At 39.9% G+C, this 27,829-nt stretch overlaps 1 protein-coding gene across 12 annotated transcripts in view, besides 2 other annotated features; it reads right to left on the bottom strand.

Annotated features, from left to right (window-relative positions):
- BTNL8 (butyrophilin like 8) overlaps positions 1-27,829 on the bottom strand; it is a 51,748-nt gene that overhangs the window by 20,235 nt on the left and 3,684 nt on the right. For 6 of the 12 annotated variants that reach the window (XM_047417764.1, NM_024850.3, NM_001159708.2 and 3 more), the window contains 2 exons: positions 21,739-22,086; positions 19,058-19,333 (listed from right to left, as the gene is read on the bottom strand). The exons of 1 other annotated variant lie outside the window; for it this stretch is intronic. In XM_047417764.1, coding sequence (XP_047273720.1) covers positions 19,058-19,333; positions 21,739-22,086 — 624 coding nt within the window. Of the gene's footprint in view, positions 1-19,057; positions 19,334-19,439; positions 19,579-20,974; positions 21,100-21,738; positions 22,087-27,829 lie in introns of those variants that run through there. 5 more of the 12 variants (NM_001159709.2, NM_001159707.2, NM_001159710.2 and 2 more) reach the window with 4 other exon arrangements.
- Positions 21,851-22,405: an enhancer, noted in NCBI's record as "NANOG-H3K27ac-H3K4me1 hESC enhancer chr5:180335267-180335821 (GRCh37/hg19 assembly coordinates)". NCBI's record gives its function as "activates a minimal SCP1, AML or CMV promoter by ChIP-STARR-seq in primed H9 embryonic stem cells {active_cell/tissue: H9 hESC(primed)}" and the evidence as "EXISTENCE:reporter gene assay evidence [ECO:0000049][PMID:30033119]".
- Positions 22,406-22,962: an enhancer, noted in NCBI's record as "NANOG-H3K27ac-H3K4me1 hESC enhancer chr5:180334710-180335266 (GRCh37/hg19 assembly coordinates)". NCBI's record gives its function as "activates a minimal SCP1, AML or CMV promoter by ChIP-STARR-seq in naive H9 embryonic stem cells {active_cell/tissue: H9 hESC(naive)}" and the evidence as "EXISTENCE:reporter gene assay evidence [ECO:0000049][PMID:30033119]".

Below are 27,829 nucleotides of genomic sequence, written 5' to 3'. Positions count from 1 at the left end.
GTCTATTATTAGTGTATAGAAATGCTTGTGATTTTTGCACATTGATTTTGTATCCCGAGACTTTGCTAAAGTTGCTTATCAGCTTAAGGAGATTTGGGGCTGAGACACCGGGGTTTTCTAAACATGCAATCCTATCATCTGCAAACAGAGACAATTTGACTTCCTCTCTTCCTATTTGAATACCCTTTATTTCTTTCTCTTGCCTGACTGCCCAGGCCAGAACTTCCAATACTATGTTGAATAGGAGTGGTGAAAGAGGACATCCTTGTCTTGTGCCAGTTTTCAAAGGGAATGCTTCCAGTTTTTGCCCATTCAGTATTATATTGGCTGTGGGTTTGTCATAAGTAGCTCTTATTATTTTGAGATACATTCCATTGACATCTAATTTATTGAGAGTTTTTAGCATGAAGGGGTGTTTAATTTTATCGAAGGCCTTTTCTGCATCTATTGAGATAATGTTTTTGTCATTGGTTCTGTTTATGTGATGGATTACGTTTATTAATTTGCGTATGTTGAACCAGCCTTGCATCCCAAGGATGAAGCCAACTTGATCGTGGTGGATACGGTTTTTGATGTGCTGCTGGATTTGCTTTGCCAGTATTTTATTGAGGATTTTCACATTGATGTTTATCAGGAATATTGGCCTGAAATTTTCCTTTTTTGTTGTGTTTCTGCCAGGTTTTGGTATCAGGATGATGGTGGCCTCATAAAATGAGTTAGGGAAGGAGTTTCTCTCTTTCTATTGTTTGGAATAGTTTCTGAAGGAATAGTACCAGCTCCTCTTTGTACCTCTGGTAGAATTCAGCTGTGAATCCATCTTGTCCTGGGCCTTTTTTGATTGGTAGGCTATTAGTTACTGCCTGAATTTCAGAACTTGTTATTGGTCTATTCAGGGATTTGACTTCTTCCTGGTTTAGTGTTGGGAGGGTGTATGTGTCCAGGAATTTATCCATTTCTTCTAGATTTTCTAGTTTATTTGTGTAGAGGGATTTATAGTATTCTCTGATTGTAGTTTGTATTTCTGTGGGATCAGTGGTGATATCCCCTTTATCATTTTTTATTGTGTCTATTTGATTCCTCTCTCTTTTCTTCTTTATTAGTCTCACTAACGGTCTATCTATTTTGTTAATCTTTTCAAAAAACCACCTCCTGGATTCATTGATGTTTTGAAGGGTTTTTTGTGTCTCTATTTCCTTCAGTTCTGCTCTTATCTTAGTTATTTCTTGTCTTCTGATAGCTTTTGAATGTGTTTGCTCTTGCTTCTGTAGTTCTTTTATTTGTGATGTTAGGGTGTCGATTTTAGATCTTTCCTGCTTTCTCCTGTGGGCATGTAGTGCTATAAATTTCTCTCTAAACAGTGCTTTAGCTGTGTCCCAGAGGTTCTGGTACATTGTGTCTTTGTTCTCATTGGTTTCAAAGAGCTTATTTATTTCTGCTTTAATTTCATTGTTTACCCAGTAGTCATTCAGGAATAGGTTGTTCAGTTTCCATGTAGTTTTGTGGTTTGAGTGAGTTTTTTAATCCTGAGTTCTAATTTGATTGCACTGTGGTCCGAGAGGCTGTTTGTTATGATTTACATTCTTTTGCATTTGCTGAGGAGTGTTCTGTTTCGAATTATGTGATCAACTGTAGAATAAGTGTGATGTGGTCCTGAGAAGAATATATATTATGTTGATTTGGGGTGGAGAGTTCTGTAGCTGCCTATAGGGTCCACTTGTTCCAGAGCTGAGTTCAAGTCCTGAATATCCTTGTTAATTTTCTGTCTCGTTGATCTGTCTAATACTGACAGTTGGGTGTTAAAATCTTCCACTATTATTGTGTGGGAGTCTAAGTCTCTTTGTAGGTCTCTAAGAACTTGCTTTATGAATCTGGGTGCTTCTATATTGGGTGCATATATATTTAGGATAGTTAGCTCTTCTTGTTGCATTGATCACTTTATCATTATGTAATGCCCTTCTTTGTCTCTTTTGATCTTTGTTTGTTTAAAGTCTGTTTTATCAGAGACTAGGATTGCAACGCCTGCTTTTTTCTGCTTTCCATTTGGTTGGTAAATTTCCTCCATCTCTTTATTTTGAGCCTATGTGTGTCTTTGCACGTGAGATGGGTCTCCCGAATATAGCACATTAATGGGTCATGACCCGTTATCAAATTTGCCAGTCTATGTCTTTTAACTGGGGCATTTAGCCTATTTACATTTAAGGTTAATATTGTTATGTGTGAATTTGATCCTGTCATTATTATGCTAGCTGGTTATTTTGCCCATTAGTTGATGCAGTTTCTACAACTTGGTGTGTTTTTGCAATGGCTGGTACTGGTTTTTCCTTTCCATATTTAGTGCTTTCTCCAGGAGCTCTTGTAAGGCAGGTCTGGTGGTGACAAAATCCCTCAGCATTTGCTTTTCTGTAAAGGATTTTATTTCTCCTTCACTTATGAAGCTTAGTTTGGCTGGATATGAAATTCTGGGTTGAAAATCCATTTCTTTAAGAATGTTGACTATTAGCCCTCACTCTCTTCTGGCTTGTAGGGTTTCAGCAGAGAGATCCACTGTTAGTCTGATGGGCTTCCCTTTGTGGGTAACCCAACCTTTCTCTCTGGCTGCCCTTAACATTTTTTCTTTCATTTCAACCTTGGTGAATCTGACGATTATGTGTCTTGGGGTTGCTCTTCTCAAGGAGTATCTTTGTGGTGTTCTCTGTATTTCCTGAATTTGAATGTTGGCCTGTCTTACTAGGTTGGGGAAGTTCTCCTGGGTAGTATCCTGGAGAATCTTTTCCAACTTGGTTCCATTCTCCCCGTCACTTTCATGTATAGCAATCAAACGTAGGTTTGGTCTTTTCACATAGTCCCATATTTCTTGGAGGCATTGTTTGTTCCTTTTCATTCTTTTTTTCTCTAATCTTGTCTTCATGTTTAATTTCATTAAGCTGATCTTCAGTTTCTGATATCATTGTCTTCCACTTGATCGATTTGGCTGTTGATACTTGTGTATGCTTCACAAAGTTCTCATGCTGTGTTTTTCAGCTCCATCAGGTCATTTATCTTCTTCTCTAAACTGGTTATTCTAGTTAGCAGCTCCTCTAACCTTTTTTCAAGGTTCTTAGCTTCCTTGCATTGGGTTAGAACATGCTCCTTTAGCTCAAAGGAGTTTGCTATTACCCACCTTCTGAAGCCTACTTCTGTCAATTCATCAAACTCATTCTCCATCCGGTTTTGTTCCCTTGCTGGTGAGGAGTTGTAATCCTTTGGAACAGAAGAGGCATTCTGGTTTTAGGAATTTTCAGCCTTTTTGCACTGGTTTTTCCTCATCTTCATGGATTTATCTACCTTTGGTTTTTGATGTTGGTGACCTTCGAATGGGGTTTCTGTGTGGACATCCTTTTTGTTGTGTTGATGTTGATGCTATTCCTTTCTGTTTGCTAGTTTGCCTTCTACCAGTCAGGACCCTCTGCTGCAGGTCTGCTGAAGTTTACTGGAGGTCCACTCCAGGCCCTGTTTGCTTGGGTATCATCAGCGGAGGGTGCAGAACAGCAGAGATTGCTGCCTGCTCCTTCCTCTGTAAGGTTCGTCCCAGGGGGGCATCCACCATATGCCAGCCGGAGCTCTCCTGTATGAGGCGTCTGTCGACCCCTGCTGGGAGGTGTCTTTCAGTCAAAAGGCACAGGGGTCAGGGACCCACTTGAAGAGGCAGTCTGTCCCTTAGCAGAGCTCAAGCACTGTGCTGGGAGAGCTGCTGTTCTCTTCAGAGCAGGCAGGCAGGAACGTTTAAGTCTGCTGAAGTTGTGCCTACAGCTTCTCCTTCCCCCAGGTGCTCTGTCCCAGGGAGATGGGAGTTTTATCTCTAAGCCCTTGACTGGGGCTGCTGCCTTTCTTTCAGAGATGCCCTGCCCAGAAAGGAGGAATCTAGAGAGGCAGTCTGGCTACAGAGGCTTTGCCAAGCTGCAGTAGGCTCCATAGAGTTTGAACTTCCTGGTGGCTTTGTTTACACTGTGAGGGAAAAACTGCCTACTCAAGCCTCAGTAATGGTGATGTCCCTCTGCCCACCAAGCTCGAGTGTCCTGGGTTGACCCCAGACTGCTCTGCTGCCAGTGAGAATTTCAAGCCCTTGGATCATAGCTTGCTGGGCTCCATGGGGGTGGGATCCACTGAGCTAGACCACTTGGCTTTCTGGCTTCAGCCCCCTTTCCAGGGGAGTGAATGGTTCTGTCTCGCTGCCATTCCAGGTGCCACTGGGGTATGAAAATCTCCTGCAGCTAGCTTGGTGTCTGCCCAAACGGCCACCCAGTTTTGTGCTTAAAACCCAGGGCCCGGGTGGTGTAGGCACCCAAGGGAATCTTCTGGTCTATGAGTTGCAAAGACCATGGGAAAAGCATAATATCTGGGTTGTAGTGCACCATTCCTCATGGCACAGTCCCTCACATCTTCCCTTGGCTATGAGAGGGAGTTCCCCAACCCCTTGCACTTCCCAGGTGAGGTGATGCCCCACCCTACTTCAGCTCCCTTTCCGTGGGCTGCACCCACTGTCTAACCAGTCCCAATGAGATGAGCCAGGTACCTCAGTTGGAAATGCAGAAATCACCTCCCTTCTGCATTGATCTTGCTGGGGGCTGCAGACCGCAGCTGTTCCTATTTGGCCATCTTGCCAGCCACCGCCTGCTGTGGTTTTTTTGTGTTGTGGTTACCATGAGGCATACACAAAATATCCTTTTAACAGGCTATTTTATTCTGATAACTTTAATCACATACAAAAACTCTACACTTTCACTCCTTTCCACTTCTTATGATTTTGATGTCAAAATTTACATGTTTTGTAATTTGTATTTCTTTACAATTTATTTTAGTTATAGGTGCTTTTAATAATTTTGTCTTTTAACTGTGACAGTAGGGATAAATTAGCTTTAAATACCACCCTTACTGTATTAGAGAATTCTGAATATGACTATATATTATTTTTACCAGTGAGTTTTTTACTTCCATATGTTTTTGTTATTATAATCCTTTTGTTTTAGTTAAAGGGCTCCCTTTAGTAATATTTATAAAATAGATCTAATAATGATTAATTACCATAGCTTTTGTTTGTCTGGGAAAGATTTTATTTCTCCCTCATTTCTGAAGGACAGATTTGCTAGTAATGTAATCTTGATTGGCAATCTTTTCCTTCAACACTTTGAATACATAATGCCATTCTTTCCTGGCATGCAGGATTGCTGCTAAGAGAAAGGCTGAAAACCATATTGGGGCTCTCTTGAATGCGATATGGTTCATTCTCTTGCTGCTTTCAGTATTCTTTCTTTGTCTCTGATTTTTTGATAATTGGAATATGATATATCTTGGTAAAATCCTCTTTGGGTTGAATTTGATTGATGACATCCAAGCTTCCTGAACCTGGATATTTTTGTGTTTCACCACATTTGGGAAATTTTCAGCCATTATTTTCTTAAATATGCCTTCGGGATCTTGTTCTCTCTCATCTCCTTCTGAAACTCCTATTATGCAAAAGTCAGTACACTTAATGGTGTCCAATAATTCCTATAGGTCTTTTTCATTTTTTATTCTTTTTTCTTTTTTATTCTCTGACTGGATAATTTAAAATATCCAGTCTTCAAGCCCAGTGATTCTTTGCCTTGATCAAGTCTGCTGTTGAAGCTTTCTAGTTAATATTTTGGTTCAGTTATTGTATTCATCATTTCTAGGATTTTAACTATTTTATTGTTTTTATTCCTTTGTCAAGCTTTTCTTTTTGTTCATTAACCATTTTTCAAATGTTATTTATTTTCTATCTGCATTTTCTTGTAGTTTCCTGAACTTCTTTAAGGGGATTATCTTAAATTCTTAGTGGTCTCATAGACTTGCATATTTCAGGGTCTATTACCGGAGCATTATTAGTTTCTTTTGGTGTCATATTTTCTTGATTTTTAAAATAATCCTTCTGTCTTTGTGTTGGTGCCTGCACATTTGAAGAAATGGCCACCTTTTCTGGCCTTTGCAAGTGTTCTTTCTCAGTAAGAGGTCTTCACTATTTAATATAGCCTGGGATTCTGAATAGGCCAACTGGTAGCAACCTCAGACAGGCAGATGTGGGTGTTGGGTTCTCTAGTTGGGCTGGGCCACTACCTGTGCTCTGACATTAAATGGAACTGCTGGCTGTGCTCCTGTGACAGGTGGTGCTGCTGATTGGGCTCTGCAGTTGCCTGATTGTCCAGGGTTAGAGGTTGTCTTTCTTGCTAGATGGTACTGTTGTTTGGAATCTGTAGTTGGTCAGGGACGTGTGCTGAGCTCTGAGGCTGGGTGAGATTTCTGGGGTTGCTGCTTGATCACTCAGGGTGGGCAGGGCCAGAGGCTATGCTCCACAGATGTGTGTGGACTTGGGCTTGGCTCCTAGTCTAGAGTAGCCTTAAGCAGAACACCAATGGTGGGTTGAGTTGCTGCATAGCTACTGGGTCTGGGCAAGATCAGATGCTCCCTCTGTAGATAATCACAGAGCTGCTATTGTCTTCCTATCTAGGGAATATGCAAAGAGAACCCAAGGCTGGCTGAGTCGCTGCTCAGCTGCTGAGGTTGGCCAGGGCCAGATGCTCCCTGTATGGTCAACTGCCAGTGTGCACTTGCCTCCCACGCTGAGTAAGGCTTAAAGACAGCATCAGGAATTGTGTTGCTACTTGACCAGTGGGGCTCAGTAGGGCCAGATGTGTCTCTCCTCTTATTTTAGTTATTTTAGTAAACTTATCTAATCCTTAATAAGAGTATAAAAATATTTTATTAAATATATTTCTATGTGACATTTTGTGTTATTATACATGGCATATTTGTTTGTTTTTCTGTCTTTGCTGGTGTATAAAATGCAATGTATTTTGTTTACTGATCTTATTTTTATGAACATAATGAAGTATAAATTGAAAGAATTTGTCTGTAGATTAATCCAGATTTCCAATGTGTATTATCATATAACCTGTTGGAAATAGGCATTCTATTTTTTCCTTCCTGGAAATTGTAATTCTTTTTTCACTTTCTTTCTTTTTTTGCAATGATTACTATTCCAGCATATTGTTGAACAGCAATGTTTAATGCAGTTATCTTCATTAAGTTCCTGGGTTTAAACCTCCTACCATGATGTATCATGGTAGCTATGGGTATTTTTAAATAGCTTTCTATCAGATGAAAGAACTGCTCTTCTGTTGCTAATTCATAAAAGGTTTTCTTTTATTTCTGGATTCACAAGTGTTTTAAATCATAGTTAGATGTTGAAACTTATATATGTTTTATTAACATCTATAGAGAATCTTATAGATTTTCTCCTTTAACTTATTAAGGTAATACTTACATAAATATACATATCCCAATGTTGACCTAACCTTTTATTCCTGGGTAAGCTCAATTCAGTCATAATATATTAGGTTTTTTAAAAAACATTTGCTTGGAGTTTATAAAATTTCTAATTGGAATTTTACATTTATGTTTCTGAAAATTTCTTATTAATATTTTTTAAACTGCCTTATTGGCTAAATCCTCCAATTAAAAGGCACAGAGTGGCAAGCTGGATAAAGAAACAAGACCAAATGGTATGCTGTCTTCAAGAGACTAATCTCACACGCAACAACATCCATAGGCTCAAAATAAAGGGATGTAGGAAAATCTACTAAGCAAATGGAAAGCAGGAAAAAGCAGGAGTTGCAATTATAATTTGAGACAAAACAGACTTTAAACCAACAATAATCAAAAAGACAAAGAAAGGCAATATATGATGGTAAAGGGTTCAGTTCAACAAACATAACTATCCTGAATATATATGCACCCAACACAAAAGCACCCAGATTCATAAAGCAAGTTCTTGGAGACCTTCAAAGAGATTTAGACTTCCACACAATAATAGTGGGAGACTTCAACACCCCACTGACTGTATTAGATAGATTATTGAGGCAGAAAATTAACAAGATATTCAGGACCTGAACTCACACTGGATCAAATGGATCTCATAGACATCTACATAACTCTCCACCCAAAAATAACAGGATATACATTCTTCTTATCACTACATAGCACATACTTTAAAACTGACCACATAATCAGACACAAAACACTTCTTAGCAAATGCAAAAGAACTGAAATCATAACAACCGCTCTCTCAGACCACAGCTCAATACGATTACAGATCAAGGCTAACAAAATCACTCAAAACAATACAATTACATGGAAATTGAATAACCTACTCCTGAATGACTTTTGGGTAAATAATGAAATTAAGGCAGAAATTAAGAATTTCTTTGAAACTAATGAGAAAAAAGACACAACATACCAGCACCTCTGGGACACAACCAAGGCACTGTTAAGAGGGAACTTTATAGCACTAAACAACTACATCAAAAAGTTAGAAAGATCTCAATTTAAGAACCTATTATCACAACTAAAAGAACTAGAGAACCAAGAGAAAATCAATCCCAAAGTTAGCAGAAGATAAGACATAACAAAATCAGAGCTGAACTGAAGGAGATTGAGATATGAAATACCATTCAAAAGATCAATGAATCCAGAGTTGGATTTTGAAAAAAATTAATAAAATATATAGACCACTAGCTAGGCTAATAAAGAAAAGAGAAAAAAATATCCAAATAAACACAATCAGAAATGACAAAGGGGATATTACACTGAGCCAAAAAAATACAAATAACTATCAGAGACTATTATGAACACCTCTATTCACACAAACTAGAAATTCTAGAAGAAATGGATACATTTATTTAAAGGTGTTAATTTATTTTTCTGTTTTGTTTTTTGTTTCATAAAACCATTTATCAAGTATGATAGGTATGATTCACATGTAAAAAGCTGTACATATTTAATTTATACAACTCAAAGAGTTTGGTGATAAGTATATACCCATTCAAATCATCACCACCATCAAGACTATAGACATATCCATCATCTCCCGTAGTTTCCTCCTACCCCTTTTATTATAATTATTACAATTATTGTGTGTGTGTCTGTGTGTGTGTGTGTGTGTGTGTGTGTGTGTGTGTAGTATGAGCAGAATATAAGATCTACCCTCTTCACAGAATTTAAGAATACAATAGTTTATTGTTAGCTACAGGCACTGTGCTGTATAGTAGATCTCCAGAACTTCTTCATCTTGCACAAATGAAACTTTTTTATACCTTTTGAATATCACCTTCCCATTTTTCCCTCCCCTCATTCCCTGGCAATCACAGTTATGCTCTATGATTCTATGACTGATGATTTTAGATTACACATATAAGTGAGATCATTTTTATGTCTGGCTTATTTTACTTAACATAATGTCCTCCATGTTCATCCATGTGTCGGGATTACCTCTTTTTTATTGTTGAGTAATATTTCATTACATATGTCACTTTTTAAATCCATTCATCTGTCAGCAAATAGATTGTTTTCATATCTTGGCTACTGTGAACTATGCCACAATAAACATGGAAGTGCAAGTATCTTTTTGAAATCCTGACTTCAATTCTTTTGGATAAATGCACGGAAGCAGGATTGCTGGATTATAAATTATCAATGAGGTTACTTATTTTATATAATTTTGTACACTGCAACTTTACTAAATGTATTAGCTCTAACAGTTTTTTGTGGAATCTTTAGGGTTTATCTACATATAAGACTATGTAGCATAGTTCTATTTGTATTTTTTTAAGGAATCTGCATACTGTTTTCCATAGTGGCTGTATCAATTTATATTCCCAGCAACAATGTAGTAACACCTGTAATATTTCTTAAGTTAGTAATAACCAGTCTAACAAGTATGAGGTGATCTCTCCTTATACTTTTGATTGAATTTCCCTGATGGTTAGTGATAGTGAGTCACTTTTCATAAATCTCTTGGCTATTAATATTTATATGTCTTTTGGGGAAAATGTTTATTCATGTACTTTGCCCATTGTAAAAATTGGAATATTTTTGGTTATTGAGTTGTATGAGTGTCTTACATATTTTGGACATTAACTCTTTATCAGGTATATACTTTGAAAATATTCTCCCATTCCACATGTTGCTTTTTATTTTGTTGATTATCTCCTTTGCTGTGCAAAAGCTTTTTAGTTTGATGTAATCTTACTTGTTCATTTTTGCTTTCATTGCCTGTGCTTTTGGTGTCAGGGTGAAAAATCACTGCCAAGATCAATGTCAAGGAGATTTTTCTGTATGCTTTCTTCTAAGAGTTTATAGTTTAAGGCCTTTTGTTTATATCTTTAATTCATTTTGAATTGATTTTTGTGTGTGATGGAAAATATGAGTCCAATATCACTCTGTTGCATGTAAATATCCAGTTTTCCAAACACCATTTGTTAAAGAAACTATCATTTATCCATTTTGTATTCTTGGTAATCTTACTGAAGATTAGTTGACCATATAGCATGGGTTTATTTCTTGGCTCTTAATTCTGTTCCATTAATCTATATGTCTGTTTTTATGCCAGTACCATATGGTTTTAATTACTATTAGGTTGGTGCAAAAGTCTTTGCAGTCTTTGCTATTACTTTCAATGGCAAAAACCACAATTACTTTTGCACCAACCTAATATAACATAATTTGAAATCAGGTAGTATGATGCTTGTACTTTGTTCTTTTTGCTCAAGTCTTATTTGGCTATTCAGGGTCTTTTGTGATCCCATGTGAATTTAGATTGTTTTCTAATTCTGTGAGAAATGCCTTTGAATTTTAATAGTGATTGCATTAAATCTATAAATTGATTTGGGTAGTATGAACATTAAGCAATATTAATTCTATGAACACATGATACATTTCTATTTATTTGTGTTATAGTCCATTTCTTTCACCAGTGTCTTATAGTTTTCAGTGTACAGATCTTTGACCTCATTGGCTAAATTTACTTCTAATTTTTTGATGCTATTTTAAATGAAGTTGTTTCCTTGATTTCTTTTCAGACAATTTATTGTTAGTGTATAGAAACACTACTAATTTTATATGTTGATTTTGTATCCTACAACTTTGCTAAATTCATTTATTAAGTTCTAACAGGTTTTAGTGGATTCTCTAGGGCTCACTACGTGTCATGTCATCTCCAAACAGAGACATTTATGTTTCTTCCTTTCTGATTTGGTTGCTTTTTATTAATTTTCTTTTTTGCCCAATTGCTCTGGCTATAACATCCAATACTATGTGGCAAGAGTGGACACCTTTATCTTGTTCCTAATCTTAAAGGAAAGCTTTCACTACTTCAGTGTTGAGGATAATGTTAGCTATGAGCTTATAATATGTAAACCAAAAATAAAATTCTAAGCTTCCCAGTCAACTGAATGGACCCCCTCTTCTCAAGAAAGGGAATTCCCAAGTAAACCTGAAGGACTAGTCCAGGCCATGATGGGAAGGTGAGGTTGGACATGCCTCATTATGTCCTCTTCCCTTTGGAGTTCAGGAACAACTGAGCAGCATTAACATTACAACAGAGGTCTTAAGACTGACAAAACAGACTCTTTGTAGCAATAAGATACCAAATCCCAACTGGACTATCATATAGCATCACATGACAGATAGCAGGCCCTGAAAGAATTTAAAATATTTTACCCCAAAGCATATTTCTTTGACATATTTTGAAATAGCCTGGCAAAGCTGCCTCTGGTGGGGGAAATGTAAATTCTCTACAGAATGTAAATTTCCCTTTCCAGGTCTTTGTCTGATCCCGAAGAGACTGATTAGCTGAGAGTCTAGCAATTTTTAAAGATCTGAATATGAAACATTTGCCACCTATTGCCTCTAAGGGTCGCCACTTATGAGACTTCATCTACATGTAAGAACCTTGGTCTCCACAACCCCCTATCCTAATCTAGACACTCTTTTCTATGGATTCCAGGTCTTTTAGATAACTCACAACCATTTGCCAACCAGAAAATCTTCTAATCTACCTATTACTTGGAAGCCCCCATTTCAAGTTGTCCTGCCTTTCTAGACCAAACCAGTGTACACCTTACATATATTGATTGATGTCTGTCTGTAATTTCTGTCCCCTTAAAACATAAAATCAAGCTGTAACTCAACCACCTTGGGCACATGTTCTCAGGACTTGTTGAGACTATGCCTTGGGCTTTGGTCACTCACATTTGGCCCAGAATAAACCTCTTTAAATGTTTTATAGAGTTTGACTCTTTTTGTTGACACATATGTGATCTTTATTATGTTGAGGTACATTCTTTTGTTACCTAGTCTGTTGACTTTTATTATGAAAAGATGCTGAATATTGTCAAATGCTTTCTCTGCGTTTGTTAACATAATTATACATTATTTGTTCTTCATTCTGTTAATGTCATATATTATATTTATTTATTTGCGTGTGTTGAAACATTCTTGCATCCCAGAGATAAATCCCACTTGATCATGGGGATACGTTTAATGTTTCTTTTAATGTACTTTGTAATTATTCTTTTTATCATGAATTTGGTTGGCTAATATTTGTTGGAAATGTTTGCATCTATGTTTATCAGGGATATTGGCATGTAATTTTCTTCTTTTTTATGGTGTTCTTATATGGTTTTTGTATCAGGGTAACTGTGGCCTCATAAAATGAGTTTGGAATTATTCCCCATCTTTAATTTTTTGCAAGAGTTTGAAAAGTATTGGCATTAATTTTTCTTTCTTTGTTTATTTCTTTTTTTTTTTTTTTGAGACAGAATCTCACTCTGTCACCCAGGCTGGAGTGCAGTGGCGCCATCTCAGCTCACTGCAAGCTCCACCTCCCGGGTTCACGCCATTCTCCTGCCTCAGCCTCCCAAGTAGCTGGGACTACACACACCCGCCACCATGCCCGGCTAATTCTTTTGTATTTTTAGTAGAGACAGGGTTTCACCGTGTTAGCCAGGATGGTCTCGATCTCCTGACCTCGTGATCCACCCACCTCGGCCTCCCAGAGTGCTGGGATTACAGGCACCCGCCACCACGCCCAGCTAATTTTTTGTGTTAATTTTTCTTTAAATATTTTGCAGAATTCACCAGCAGAGCCATCTGGTCATGGAATTTTCTTTGTTGGGAGGATTTTGATTATCAATTGTATTTCTAACTAATTACTGGTCTGGTATTTTTTTTAAATTATTCTGATTCAGTTTTTATAGGTTGTATGTTTCTAGGAATGTATCCATTTCTGCTAGGTTATCCAATTTGTTGGCCTGTAATTTTTCATAGTGCCGTAGTCTAACCTTGTCTTTGGTTTCTGCTAGGTTATCCAGTTTGTTGGCCTATGATTTTTCATAGTGCCGTAGTCTAACCTTGTCTTTGGTTTCTGCTAGGTTATCCAGTTTGTTGGCCTATGATTTTTCATAGTGCCGTAGTCTAACCTTGTCTTTGGTTTCTGCTAGGTTATCCAGTTTGTTGGCCTATGATTTTTCATAGTGCCATAGTCTAACCTTGTCTTTGGTTTCTGCTAGGTTATCCAGTTTGTTGGCCTATGATTTTTCATAGTGCCGTAGTCTAACCTTGTCTTTGGTTTCTGCTAGGTTATCCAGTTTGTTGGCCTATGATTTTTCATAGTGCCGTAGTCTAACCTTGTCTTTGGTTTCTGCTAGGTTATCCAGTTTGTTGGCCTATGACTTTTCATAGTGCCATAGTCTAACCTTGTCTTTGGTTTCCGCTAGGTTATCCAGTTTGTTGACCTATGATTTTTCATAGTGCCGTAGTCTAACCTTGTCTTTGGTTTCTGCTAGGTTATCTGGTTTGTTGGCCTATGATTTTTCATAGTGCCGTAGTCTAACCTTGTCTTTGGTTTCACTTTTCATGATTTCAGTTACTCGTGATCAATTGTGGCCCAAAAATATTGAATGAAAAATTTCATAAATAAACAATTTGTAAGTTTTAAATTGCACACCATTCTGAGTAGCATGATGAAATCTCTATCATCCTGCTCTGTTCCATTTGAGACATGAAAAATAGCATATATAGGGTTTGGTACTGTACGTGGTTTGTGGCATTCACTGGGGATCTTGGAATGTAACCCCTGTGGATAAGGGAGAACTACGATAGTCTCATGACATTTTATATTTATTTCTGTGGTACCAGTTGTAATGTATCATCTTTTATTTATAATTCTATTTATTTGAGTCAGCTCTTTTTTTCTTGGTTAATCTAGGTAAAGGCTTGTCAATTTTACTTATCTTTTCAAATAAACAACATTTAGTTTTATTGATCTTTTTATTGTTTTTCTATTTCATTTATTTCTGCTCTAATTATTATTTTTTCCTTCCTTCTGCTAAATTTTGGCTTAGTTTTTTCTTTTTCTAATTTCTTGAGGTATAAACTTAGGTTGTTCATTTGAGATCTTTCTTTTTTCTTAATGTAGATATTTATAGCTATAAACTTTTAGAACTGGTTTTGCTACATTCCATAGATTTCGCTATTGTTTAAAAATTTTTCATCATCACTGTGGTTTCAATGTATCCCCAGAGTTTATGTGTTGAAAACTTAATCCCCAATGCAATAATGTTGACAGGTGGGACCCTTAAGAGGTGACAAGGCCATGAGGATCCTGCCCTCGTGAGTGGATTAATGCCATTTTTGCAGAAGCAGCTTCCTTCCTCTTTCTTACTCTCTTGCCATTCTACCTTCCTCCATGGAATTACACAACTAGAAGGCCCTCACAGGATGTGACCCCTTGATCTTAGACTTCCCAGCCTCCACGACCATGAGCCAAATAAACCTCTGTTCATTATCAATTACCCAATCTCAGGTATTCTGGTACAGCAGCATAAAGTGGACTAAGACAACCACTGGGTATATGCTCTGTGGGCATGTTACGTATGGCCTTTATTGTGTTGAGCTACATTGCTTCTATACCTAATTTATTGAAAGTTGGTTTTGTCATGAAAGGGTGTTGAATGTTGTCAAATGCTTTTTCTGCATCTATTGAGATGATCATATTGTTTTTGTCTTTCATTCTGTTAGTGTAATATTTATTGATTTGCATATGTTGAACCATCCTTATGTTCCAAGGATAAAGCTCACTTAATCATGGTAAATGAATCTTTTAATGTGCTGTGAATCTGTTTGACAGTATATTTTGTCTTTCTGTCACTCCTCCTCCTCTAGTCTGTACTGGCAGACTTTGGTAGACAAAGACCTTGACCAGTCAGCCTGGCTAGATACTCTGGAAGTCTCTCAGATCTTTTTTATGGATGTACCTGCTTTACTTTTCTCGTTCCTTCTTGGTGAGAGGAAGTCTTGGGATTTTCTTTTCTCAGTCCTGCAAAGCAGGCTGGCTGCTGAGAGCCTTGCATTTATTTATCCCTAGGGCAATTCCCTAAAATACTCAAGATTGTGCACCTTCTCTCAATCCAGCAGAGTCAAGCTGATTGCTATCTGTGTTCTGACTGCAGAAGTTTGTATGCACATCTGCTGAGGCTCAGGCACCCTGTCTGCAGGGAAGCACGTGCCCCACTGTGATGGACCAAGAGGTTCTAGCCACAGGGGTGGTGTGTGGAGGGCTGGGGGCACATATCAGCTGGTTGGGTAGTCAGCAGGTTGTGAGGTGGGCCTCTAGTAGAGTGCAGGGGCTGGCCAGTAGGTTCTGCTGCTTGTTGTTCAGGTCCATGCACTGGCTGCCATAAGCCCCCTCCTCTTTCCCTACTCCTAGCTGCCCCCAGATGATTCAGCCACATGGTCCCCTCAGTGTTCTGCATTAAGTGAGACAGAAATGGGTTTCCTGGGCAGCATCCCACAAGCCTGGGGAATCTGGACATTCACTTTGCTCTCACTTTCCCCATGGCAAAAATTGTGGGCTGAGGGAGTCTCTCTTGGCACTGAGTTACCTCGGAAGAGCAGTGAGGCGGGTAGAAGGAAACAGTTCTTACCTTCCTCCATGCATCTGTTCTTGGCTTTTTTGCCTGACCAACCAGTTGGAACCTCTCAAGTGGCTTCCTAGACTCCTACAAAAATACTTTTGTTCATGGTAGTTGTTAAAATTAGTGTTTCTGTGGGAGTTTGAGAACTGAAAACTCCATTTCACCATCCTAATCATGTCACTTCTTAAAAGGTATAGTTGTGTGATAGTTTGTATGTATAGTTTCATTATCATTCAGTCCTAAGACACTTTTAATTATCATTATGACTTTTTCAATGACCACTTAGTTATTTTTGAAGTATGTTTTGAAAGTTTCAAACATATATGAATATTAAATTGTTTTTCTTTTTCTCATTGAATTTAATTATATTGTGATTAGAAATCATCGTTTGAATCATACCAGTCTTTGTCCATTTGTGCTGCTATAACAAAATACTACAGACTGGCTCATTTGTAAACAATAGAAATGTATTTCTCATAGTTCTGGAGGCTGGGAAGTCCAAGGTCAAGTATCAATAGATTTGGCATCTGATGAGGACTGTCCTCTGTTTCAAGATGGCACCTTGTTGCTGTGTCCCCTGAAGGCGATGAACACTGTGTCCCTCACATGGCAGAAGGGGTGGAAAGGGTAAGTTCACCCCCTTAAATCCTTTTATAAGGCACTAACCCATTCATATGGGCATAGTCCTCAGGACTTAATCACCTCCTAAAAAGCCCACCTCTTAATAGTGCTGCATTGGGGATTTCGTTTCAACATGAATTTTGGAGAAGACACAACACTAAAACCATATCGCAATACCATTTTCTTCAAAGTTTTTGTAAAGCATTTTATGTGCTTGAGCCTGATGAGAGTTAATTTATGGTCTGTGTGTGCTTCCAATGCTTTGTGGTGGGTGCAGCCTTCTAAGAATATCTATTAAATTGGGTTTGTTAATTTTTAGTTCAAGTATTCTATATTCTTACTGATTCAAGTCACATTGCAACTTGGCGGCCCATGATTAAGTGTTCAGTCTTTCCTAAGGTCTAGCCCAAGATGTATTTTTCAAAAGAAGAGTAGTTATTCGTAGAGAATGGCAGGGCTCTGCTTCTCAATCCTGAGGGCCTGTGCCATGATTCACTTACAGGGGCCTGGCAAAGGCTCCTAACAGCATGCCCACCTGTCACTCTCTGTGGGCCACATTTTGATCCATGCTTCAGCCAACCAAACGATAGAGGCCTTTCTAACACTCTGAGCTGCAACATTAAATGCAGGATCTCTGATTAGTGAGGCCATTACATGTGGTTTGAGCCAACCTTACGTCCTTGTACCACCACCTTACACCCTTAATATCATTTGACATGGATTCTCTGGATTTCTGGTCTGTATAGATTAGAAAAACCAACTAGCTCTTTTGGAGTGTAGTACACTTTCTAATGAGTCATGCATTGTTTCCAACTTTAGGGTCCTGCTGAAACTTGAGCCTAGGTACAGATCTAGAAGCAAAGAGGAATGGTAGGGGTGGGTCCTGCGTAGCATCAGCATTGTCTTGCATGGTGACTGCCTCAGGAAAGAGGCCATTACAGTTTCTTTGGGCAATGCAGGGTTAATCCCCTGAGATGAAGGTGGAGAGGCTACTTCTAATTGACATAGAGAGACTGAGACTGCTTTCACTGGCAAAGACTCATCAGCATTTGAGGCTCAATGTCCCCAGCTTCATCAGTCTTCCCATACATCCCCATTTCAACTTTCTGAATCTCATTTCTTCCCAGTCAATGCCCCCTCACATTGACAGATACCCTGAGGAACAGGTTTGGATTTCCATTGTCGTTCAGCCAGTCACAGAATGAGTTCTCAATTTGGTTTTCAGCAATCTTAGCCCTGTGGCTACAGAAAATAAGGGTCTCTTTCAGGGCACTCATGGAAGCTTTCAGGTTATTTATGCAACACCAAGAAACTCAGAATTCAAATTCCTCCGCTCATATTTCCTTTCATCACTTTCCTCACTTTTTCTAGCAAGAATAGGAGCAACCAGCCAATCTCATCTTATTCACTAGGTCGACACACATGTTTGAAAATATCATATACCAGTCAACCCATGCTTAATTATGGGTCGCAAATGGTGAAATTTTGCATATCTGTATTGCTAGATCACAACATGAACTTTCAGTGCTTTTTGTTTTGTTTGTTTGAAGACGGGGTCTTGCTATGTTGTGTAGGCTGGCCTCAAACTCCTAGGCTCAAGTGATCCTCCCACCTCAGCCTCCTGAGTAGCTGGGACTACAGGTGTACACAGTAATCCCAGCTCAGAGAATTTTAGAATTTTAGGGATGACTGAAAAGTTATCCCTAAAATTCTTTTTCTCTAGAAATACTCTTGGTACCAAATCTGTATTAGTGAGAGTTCTCCAGAGTAACAGAACCACTAGGATGTATACACACATACATATATATATATATATACATCCTGTTGTTTCTATATATTTGAGAGAGAAAGATGGAGATAAAGAGAGAAAGGAAGAGGAGAGACAGATTTAGTATAAAGAATTGGCTTGCATACATCATGGAAGCTCTTTTAGGTCCCAACTCATGGGTGAGTCAGCAATCTGGAGCCCCAGGAGAGCCAATGGTTCATTTACGTTGAAACCAGAAGACCTGAGAACCAGAAGAGCCAATGGTGTCACTCCTGTCCAAAAGTCCGCAGGCTCAAGACATAGAAAGAGCCAGTGGTTCAGTTTGAGTCTGAAGGCCAGCAGCCTGCTCTGAGGCCAGGAAGAGCCAGTGTCCCAGTTAAAAGGCTACTATGCAAGATCATTCTCTCACTCAGGGGAGGGTCGACCCTTTGTTCTATTCAGGTCTTCAGCTGATTGGATAAGCCCACCCGCATTATGGAGGGCAATCTTCTTTACTCAGTTTACCAATTCAAATGTGAATCTTATGTGTAAACACCCTCACAGAAGCATCCTGAATAATACTTGACCAAATCTGAGCAAATCGTGACCCAGTCAAGTGGACCCAAAAAATTAACCATCACAGGGTTACGTCACAGCTGAAGGAAATACTTAATTCTACTCCCCTGGAATTGTAAACAATTCTATTTCCACCTAACCAAATGTTTATAACTTTACTTTTACATCTCATTGATTTTAAACTTTTAAAATAAATCATTAGAACTGAGAAAGATAAAACAGCAATGCCAAGATGGAGGCTCCTGTCCTCCCTCTGAGTTACCGAAGCATCCACCCCTCCTTCTCTTCTCCTCCCCTCCCTACTCACCTCCTATCTGTACCCTGGATTCCACCTCTCGGCTCAGATGAGCATGCCGCATGGAACAGGATATGCTCCCGGCGTTCTCTTGGACGGTCAGAGAGATCTCCACATCAAACAGGCCATGCATGTCTCTGTTTGTCCTGGAGTCTGTGGACAAATCCTGTCCTTGTGGACCTTTCCACTTCGCTGTGGGCCGGGGGAACCAGCCCGAGGACTGACAGAGTAGCTGGATGTCTCTATCAACATATCCCGTGATGGAAATGAGAGGAACTGAGCCCAGTGCTGGGGAGAAAACAGGGAACGGTTGAAAGCAAAGATCACATCCCAAAGCCACAGCAATTCTGAGTCAGGTGCATTCAGTCCACCCCCCACCCATTCTCTCTCTTACACACACAAACACTAAAACCACGACCTTTGGCAAAAGCCTTCCCATGGCCTCTGTTCGTTGCCATTTTTTAGCAACTACTGTGTATGCGTGGCTATTCCTAAGCACCAGTCATGATGAAGTAAGACAAAACTGCTTCTATGAGAAACTTGTCAGGAGCTCAGCTAAAGTAGAGAGAGTGCTGAGCCGCCAGGCGTAGGAGTAACAGACCAAAGGAACGATGACCCGAATTAAAGTAATAGTGAAGCCTCTAATCAGTTGCTACAAAAGTAAGAGCTAAACCAAGGAAGATGCCAACCCCTCCCTGTCTCATCCTCCCCCATGAAATGGAATTCCAGTTGAGGGGCAGATGGATCATCACACGTGTGGGGCTGACTCACTAGTGATGGAGTGCTGAACAAAAGGCTTCACAGCTTTATGAATCCTGAGCTCAGGAGGAGGTGTAGGGAGGAGGAATTAGAGGGTAAGATACTGGATACTAAGACAGAGTAGAGAAAAGTGTCTTGGAGTTTGCCTTTTCTGTCATGGGGGAATGGCAGCCAGTGGTGTGGGGGTAAAAGAATTTACCAAGATGGTTGTAGGTAGAGAAAGGCAGATTTATTAGAGAAAGTAGGAAAGTACTTTGCAAGGAAGGCAATAGGCAAGTTAGCATGAGGGAAGCTAACTGCAAGAAAAAAAAGTCTCAGGGATTTTATAGAATGGAGCTTGGGCTGATCGATAATGCCAAGGTAGCAGGGAGCCTAACTTATATTCTTTTGTCAGCTGGGATATTTGATAAATTGAGGTGTTTGATGATAAGCAGGAAGTCTGTGAGTTATGTATGTTATCTGGGCAGGAAGGCCAAATGTTCTGGGCCATATATCCTGGACTGTATGTCCAGGATGACGAAGAAAGGCAGACCTGTAGCTTATCTGCTGTCTCTTTTGTTTAAATTTTCTAGACATGAAGAAAGGCATGTTTATAGTTTATTTCCTCTTTTTTTTTTTCTTTTTGCTTTCACCTGGTCCTGCCAGCCTGACTCCTTTTCCCTAATTAGGACTCCACATTCTCCTCCTTGTTATAAGGCACTTGAAAGTCCTGCCCAAGGCCTGAGATTCTGAGAATTAAAATGCCTGGGCTAGAAATGCAAATATGTAAAGACCAGGACAGCTTAGCCGGGCCTGAGGGCTCACCTGAAACTCTCCTCAGAGACTGCAAAGCATTGGTTGTACTCCAAGTCTGCTATGAGGAGGAGGCCTTCCAGGAAACGCTTTTGAAAATTGCCTATCATCAGGCCTGAAATATCACTCATAGTGGTTTTTAAAAAAATTTAAGTTAGTCAAATTTAGCAGTGGGGAGTCGTATGCCAATTGTAGTGACACTACTAAGTTCGGATAATCCACTACCGTCAGAGCAGCCCCACTCACAGGTTTTTAATCAGGACACAGATTATTCACAACTCACTGACTGCACACGGCAACAACTGTAAACAATAAATTTCTGTTTTTTCCTTCTTTCATCTTCTTTTTTTTTTTTTTTTAATAGAGATGAGGTCTTACCATATGCCCAGGCTGGTCTCGAGCTCCTGGACTCAAGCAATCCTCCTGTCTCAGCCTCTCAAGGTGTTGGGATTACGGGCTTGAGCCACTGCACCCAGCCCCGTCAAATACATTTCACTGTGAAGGGTGTGACTATGGAAGTATGGTCAAGTTAACACAGAGCATTGAGCAACTGATTGTCAGGGGAAGTCACAGCTTCCTGGAGCTGACGTTTGCTCCCTGCTGTATCAGATAAACAAAAAATTTGTAGGACAAGTGAGCAGGAATCTTTATTTGTTAATTTAAAAATAAATGTTCATAAGGAAAACTATTTTGACAGTGGGGAAAAAAAAGAAATAAAGTATCGATACAAGCAATAATTTGGATAGATCGCAAGAGCATTATGCTGAATTTAAAAAGTCAATCTCAAAAGGTCACCTGCGGTGTGAAGCTGTGTATGTAACATTCTTGAAATTACAGCATCAGGGAGATGGAAAACCCCAGGCAGGGGCTGAGAAGGGGTGGGTGTGACCATGAAGGGGTGACAGAGGGAGATCTTCGTGATGATGGGGTAGTTCTATACCTTGATGTGATGGTGGTTACCTGAATTTAAACATGTGACAAAACACATAGAACTATACACACAAGACAGAAGGAACGTAGAGTATAGAATGCTGCCTTCTAACTAAATGACCTAAAATTTTAAAATTTCCTTATTGAAAAAAACACTTATAAAGTCCAGGATGGTTCTTTGGGACAACTAAGTTATGAAATATGAAACTGACCTGACACCTGTAGCTCCCAGATGGCCTTCTGGTAGTAAGACTGGGAACTAATCCTGCACCCATAGAGGCCAGCATCCAACACAGTAATGTTTTCCAGCCTCAGAGAGATGCGCCCCTCCGCAATAGAATCCTTCACCAGTTTTGTCCTGCCTTGATACTGTGGCATCTGCATAAATGGCTGGTCCTTCCCGTCCCTGTAGAGGTGGACCACGCTAGAGAACTGGCCCCTGAAGAACCGCACTTCCATGGCCTCTGCATTGGTCTTAGGAGACAGGAAACAGGAGAATGCTGCGTCCTCCCCCACCAAGGCCTGGACAGGCTTGTCTGGCCCAAACACCTGCCACTGCCCTGTGGGAAGACATACAAAAGATAAATCATCAAAACCCTTTGTAGTGAGGGGGAGGAGCCAAGATGGCCGAATAGGAACAGCTCCGGTCTACAGCTCCCAGAGTGAGCGACGCAGAACATGGGTGATTTCTGCATTTCCATCTGAGGTACCGGGTTCATCTCACTAGGGAGTGCCAGACAGTGGGCGCAGGTCAGTGGGTGCGCGCACCGTGCACGAGCCGAAGCAGGGCGAGGCATTGCCTCACTCGGGAAGCGCAAGGGGTCAGGGAGTTCCCTTTCCGAGTCAAAGAAAGGGGTGACGGACGCACCTGGAAAATCGGGTCACTCCCACCCGAATATTGCGCTTTTCCGATGGGCTTAAGAAACGGCGCACCACGAGATTATATCCCACACCTGGCTCAGAGGGTCCTATGACCACAGAGTCTCGCTGATTGCTAGCACAGCAGTCTGAGATCAAACTGCAAGGCAGCAGCGAGGCTGGGGGAGGGGCGCCCGCCATTGCCCAGGCTTGATTAGGTAAACAAAGCAGCTCCAACTGGGTGGAGCCCACCACAGCTCAAGGAGGCCTGCCTGCCTCTGTAGGCTCCACCTCTGGGGGCAGGGCACAGACACACAAAAAGACAGCAGTAACCTCTGCAGACTTAAATGTCCCTGTCTGACAGCTTTGAAGAGAGCAGTGGTTCTCCCAGCACGCAGCTGGAGATCTGAGAACTGGCAGACTGCCTCCTCAAGTGAGTCCCTGACCCCTGACCCCCGAGCAGCCTAACTGGGAGGCACCCCCCAGCAGGGGCACACTGACACCTCACACGGCAGGGTACTCCAACAGACCTGCAGCTGAGGGTCCTCTCTGTTAGAAGGAAAACAAACAGAAAGGACATCCACACCAAAAACCCATCTGTACATCACCATCATCAAAGACCAAAAGTAGACAAAACCACAAAGATGGGGAAAAAACAGAACAGAAAAACTGGAAACTCTAAAAAGCAGAGCGCCTCTCCTCCTCCAAAGGAACGCAGTTCCTCACCAGCAACGGAACAAAGCTGGATGGAGAATGACTTTGACGAGCTGAGAGAAGAAGGCTTCAGATGATCAAATTACTCTGAGCTACGGGAGGACATTCAAACCAAAGGCAAAGAAGTTGAAAACTTTGAAAAAAAATTAGAAGAATGTATAACTAGAATAACCAATACAGAGAAGTGCTTAAAGGAGCTGATGGAGCTGAAAACCAAGGCTCAAGAACTACGTGAAGAATGCAGAAGCCTCAGGAGCCGATGCGATCAACTGGAAGAAAGGGTATCAGCGATGGAAGATGAAATGAATGAAATGAAGCAAGAAGGGAAGTCTAGAAAAAAAAGAATAAAAAGAAATGAGCAAAGCCTCCAAGAAATATGGGACTATGTGAAAAGACCAAATCTACGTCTGATTGGTGTACCTGAAAGTGATGGGGAGAATGGAACCAAGTTGGAAAACACTCTGCAGTATATTATCCAGGAGAACTTCCCCAATCTAGCAAGGCAGGACAACGTTCAGATTCAGGAAATACAGAGAACGCCACAAAGATACTCCTCGAGAAGAGCAACTCCAAGACACATAATTGTCAGATTCACCAAAGTTGAAATGAAGGAAAAAATGTTAAGGGCAGCCAGAGAGAAAGGTCGGGTTACCCTCAAAGGGAAGCCCATCAGACTAACAGCGGATCTCTCGGCAGAAACCCTACAAGCCAGAAGAGAGTGGGGGCCAATATTCAACATTCTTAAAGAAAAGAATTTTCAACCCAGAACTTCATATCCAGCCAAACTAAGCTTCATAAGTGAAGGAGAAATAAAATACTTTACAGACAAGCAAATGCTGAGAGATTTTGTCACCACCAGGCCTGCCTTACAAGAGCTCCTGAAGGAAGCACTAAACATGGAAAGGAACAACCGGTACCAGCCACTGCAAAATCATGCCAAAATGTAAAGACCATCGAGAGTAGGAAGAAACTGCATCAACTAACGAGCAAAATAACCAGCTAACATCATAATGACAGGATCAAATTCACACATAACAATATTAACGTTAAATGTAAATGGACTAAATGCTCCAATTAAAAGACACAGACTGGCAAATTGGATAAAGAGTCAAGACCCATCAGTGTGCTGTATTCAGGAAACCCATCTCACGTGCAGAGGCACACATAGGCTCAAAATAAAAGGATGGAGGAAGATCTACCAAGCCAATGGAAAACAAAAAAAGGCAGGGGTTGCAATCCTAGTCTCTGATAAAACAGACTTTAAACCAACAAAGATCAAAAGAGACAAAGAAGGCCATTACATAATGGTAAAGGGATCAATTCAACAAGAAGAGCTAACTCTCCTAAATATATATGCACCCAATACAGGAGCACCAAGATTCGTAAAGCAAGTCCTGAGTGACCTACAAAGAGACTTAGACTCCCACACATTAATAATGGGAGACTTTAACACCCCACTGTCAACATTAGATAGATCAACGAGACAGAAAGTCAAAAAGGATACCCAGGAATTGAACTCAGCTCTGCACCAAGCGGACCTAATAGACATCTACAGAACTCTCCACCGCAAATCAACAGAATATACATTTTTTTCAGCACCACACCACACCTGTTACAAAATTGACCACATACTGGAAGTAAAGCTCTCCTCAGCAAATGTAAAAGAACAGAAATTATAACAAACTATCTCTCAGACCACAGTGCAATCAAACTAGAACTCAGGATTAAGAATCTCAAAGCCGCTCAACTACATGGAAACTGAACAACCTGCTCCTGAATGACTACTGGGTACATAACGAAATGAAGGCAGAAATAAAGATGTTCTTTGAAACCAACGAGAACAAAGACACAACATACCAGAATCTCTGGGACACATTCAAAGCAGTGTGTAGAGGGAAATTTATAGCACTAAATGCCCACAAGAGAAAGCAGGAAAGATCCAAAATTGACACCCTAACATCACAATTAAAAGAACTAGAAAAGCAAGAGCAAACACATTCAAAAGCTAGCAGAAGGCAAGAAATAACTAAAATCAGAGCAGAACTGAAGGAAATAGAGACACAAAAAACCCTTCAAAAAATTAATGAATCCAGGAGCTGGTTTTTTGAAAGGATCAACAAAATTGATAGACCGCTAGCAAGACTAATAAAGAAAAAAAGAGAGAAGAATCAAATAGATGCAATAAAAAATGATAAAGGGGATATCACCACCGATCCCACAGAAATACAAACTACCATCAGGGAATACTACAAACACCTCTATGCAAATAAACTAGAAAATCTAGAAGAAATGGATAAATTCCTCGACACATACACTCTCCCAAGACTAAACCAGGAAGAAGTTGAATCTCTGAATCGACCAATAACAGGAGCTGAAATTGTGGCAATAATCAATAGCTTACCAACCAAAAAGAGTCCAGGACCAGATGGATTCACAGCCGAATTCTACCAGAGGTACAAGGAGGAACTGGTACCATTCCTTCTGAAACCATTCCATTCAATAGAAAAAGAGGGAATCCTCCCTAACTCATTTTATGAGGCTAGCATCATTCTGATACCAAAGCCAGGCAGAGACACAACAAAAAAAGAGAATTTTAGACCAATATCCTTGATGAACATTGATGCAAAAATCCTCAATAAAATACTGGCAAACTGAATCCAGCAGCACATCAAAAAGCTTATCCACCATGGTCAAGTGGGCTTCATCCCTGGGATGCAAGGCTGGTTCAATATACGCAAATCAATAAATGTAATCCAGCATATAAACGGAGCCAAAGACAAAAACCACATGATTATCTCAATAGATGCAGAAAAAGCCTTTGACAAAATTCAACAACCCTTCATGCTAAAAACTCTCAATAAATTAGGTATTGATGGGACGTATTTCAAAATAATAAGAGCTATCTATGACAAACCCACAGCCAATATCATACTGAATGGGCAAAAACTGGAAGCATTCCCTTTGAAAACTGGCACAAGACAGGGATGCCCTCTCTCACCACTCCTATTCAACATAGTGCTGGAAGTTCTGGCCAGGGCAATTAGGCAGGAGAAGGAAATAAAGGGTATTCAATTAGGAAAAGAGGAAGTCAAATTGTCCCTGTTTGCAGACGACATGATTGTATATCTAGAAAACCCCACTGTCTCAGCCCAAAATCTCCTTAAGCTGATAAGCAACTTCAGCAAAGTCTCAGGATACAAAATCAATGTACAAAAATCACAAGCGTTCTTATACACCAACAACAGACAAACAGAGAGCCAAATCATGAGTGAACTCCCATTCACAATTGCTTCAAAGAGAATAAAATACCTAGGAATACAACTTACAAGGGATGTGAAGGACCTCTTCAAGGAGAACTACAAACCACTGCTCAAGGAAATAAAAGAGGATACAAACAAATGGAAGAACATTCCATGCTCATGGGTAGGAAGAATCAATATCGTGAAAATGGCCATACCGCCCAAGGTAATTTACAGATTCAATGCCATCCCCATCAAGCTACCAATGACTTTCTTCACAGAATTGGAAAAAACTACTTTAAAGTTCATATGGAACCAAAAAAGAGCCTGCATCACCAAGTCAATCCTAAGCCAAAAGAACAAAGCTGGAGGCATCACACTACCTGACTTCAAACTATACTACAAGGCTACAGTAACCAAAACAGCATGGTACTGGTACCAAAACAGAGATATAGATCAATGGAACAGAACAGAGCCCTCAGAAATAACGCTGCATATCTACAACTATCTGATCTTTGACAAACCTGACAAAAACAAGCAATGGGGAAAGGATTCCCTATTTAATAAATGGTGCTGGGAAAACTGGCTAGCCATATGTAGAAAGCTGAAACTGGATCCCTTCCTTACACCTTATACAAAAATCAATTCAAGATGGATTAAAGACTTAAACGTTAGACCTAAAACCATAAAAACCCTAGAAGAAAACCTAGGCATTACCATTCAGGACATAGGCATGGGCAAGGACTTCATGTCTAAAACACCAAAAGCAATGGCAACAGAAGACAAAATTGACAAATGGGATCTAATTAAACTAAAGAGCTTCTGCACAGCAAAAGAAACTACCATCAGAGTGAACAGGCAACCTACAAAATGGGAGAAAATTTTCGCAACCTACTCATCTGACAAAGGGCTAATATCCAGAATCTACAATGAACTCAAACAAATTTACAAGAAAAAAACAAACAACCCCATCAAAAAGTGGGCAAAGGACATGAACAGACACTTCTCAAAAGAAGACATTTATGCAGCCAAAAAACACATGAAAAAATGTTCATCATCACTGGCCATCAGAGAAATGCAAATCAAAACCACAATGAGATACCATCTCACACCAGTTAGAATGGCAATCATCAAAAAGTCAGGAAACAACAGGTGCTGGAGAGGATTGGAGAAATAGGAACACTTTTACACTGTTGGTGGGACTGTAAACTAGTTCAACCATTGTGGAAGTCAGTGTGGCGATTCCTCAGGGAACTAGAACTGGAAATACCATTTGACCCAGCCATCCCATTACTGGGTATATACCCAAAGGACTATAAATCATGCTGCTATAAAGACACATGCACACGTATGTTTATTGCGGCACTATTCACAATAGCAAAGACTTGGAACCAACCCAAATGTCCAACAATGATAGACTAGATTAAGAAAATGTGACACATATACACCATGGAATACTATGCAGCCATAAAAAATGATGAGTTCATGTCCT

This window comes from Homo sapiens, chromosome 5, assembly GCF_000001405.40.
Source record: "Homo sapiens chromosome 5, GRCh38.p14 Primary Assembly".
In the NCBI taxonomy this organism is placed as follows: Eukaryota; Metazoa; Chordata; class Mammalia; order Primates; family Hominidae; genus Homo; species Homo sapiens.
The sequence above is the reverse complement of the archived record's forward strand: the minus strand, read 5'-3'. Positions and strand labels throughout refer to the sequence as shown.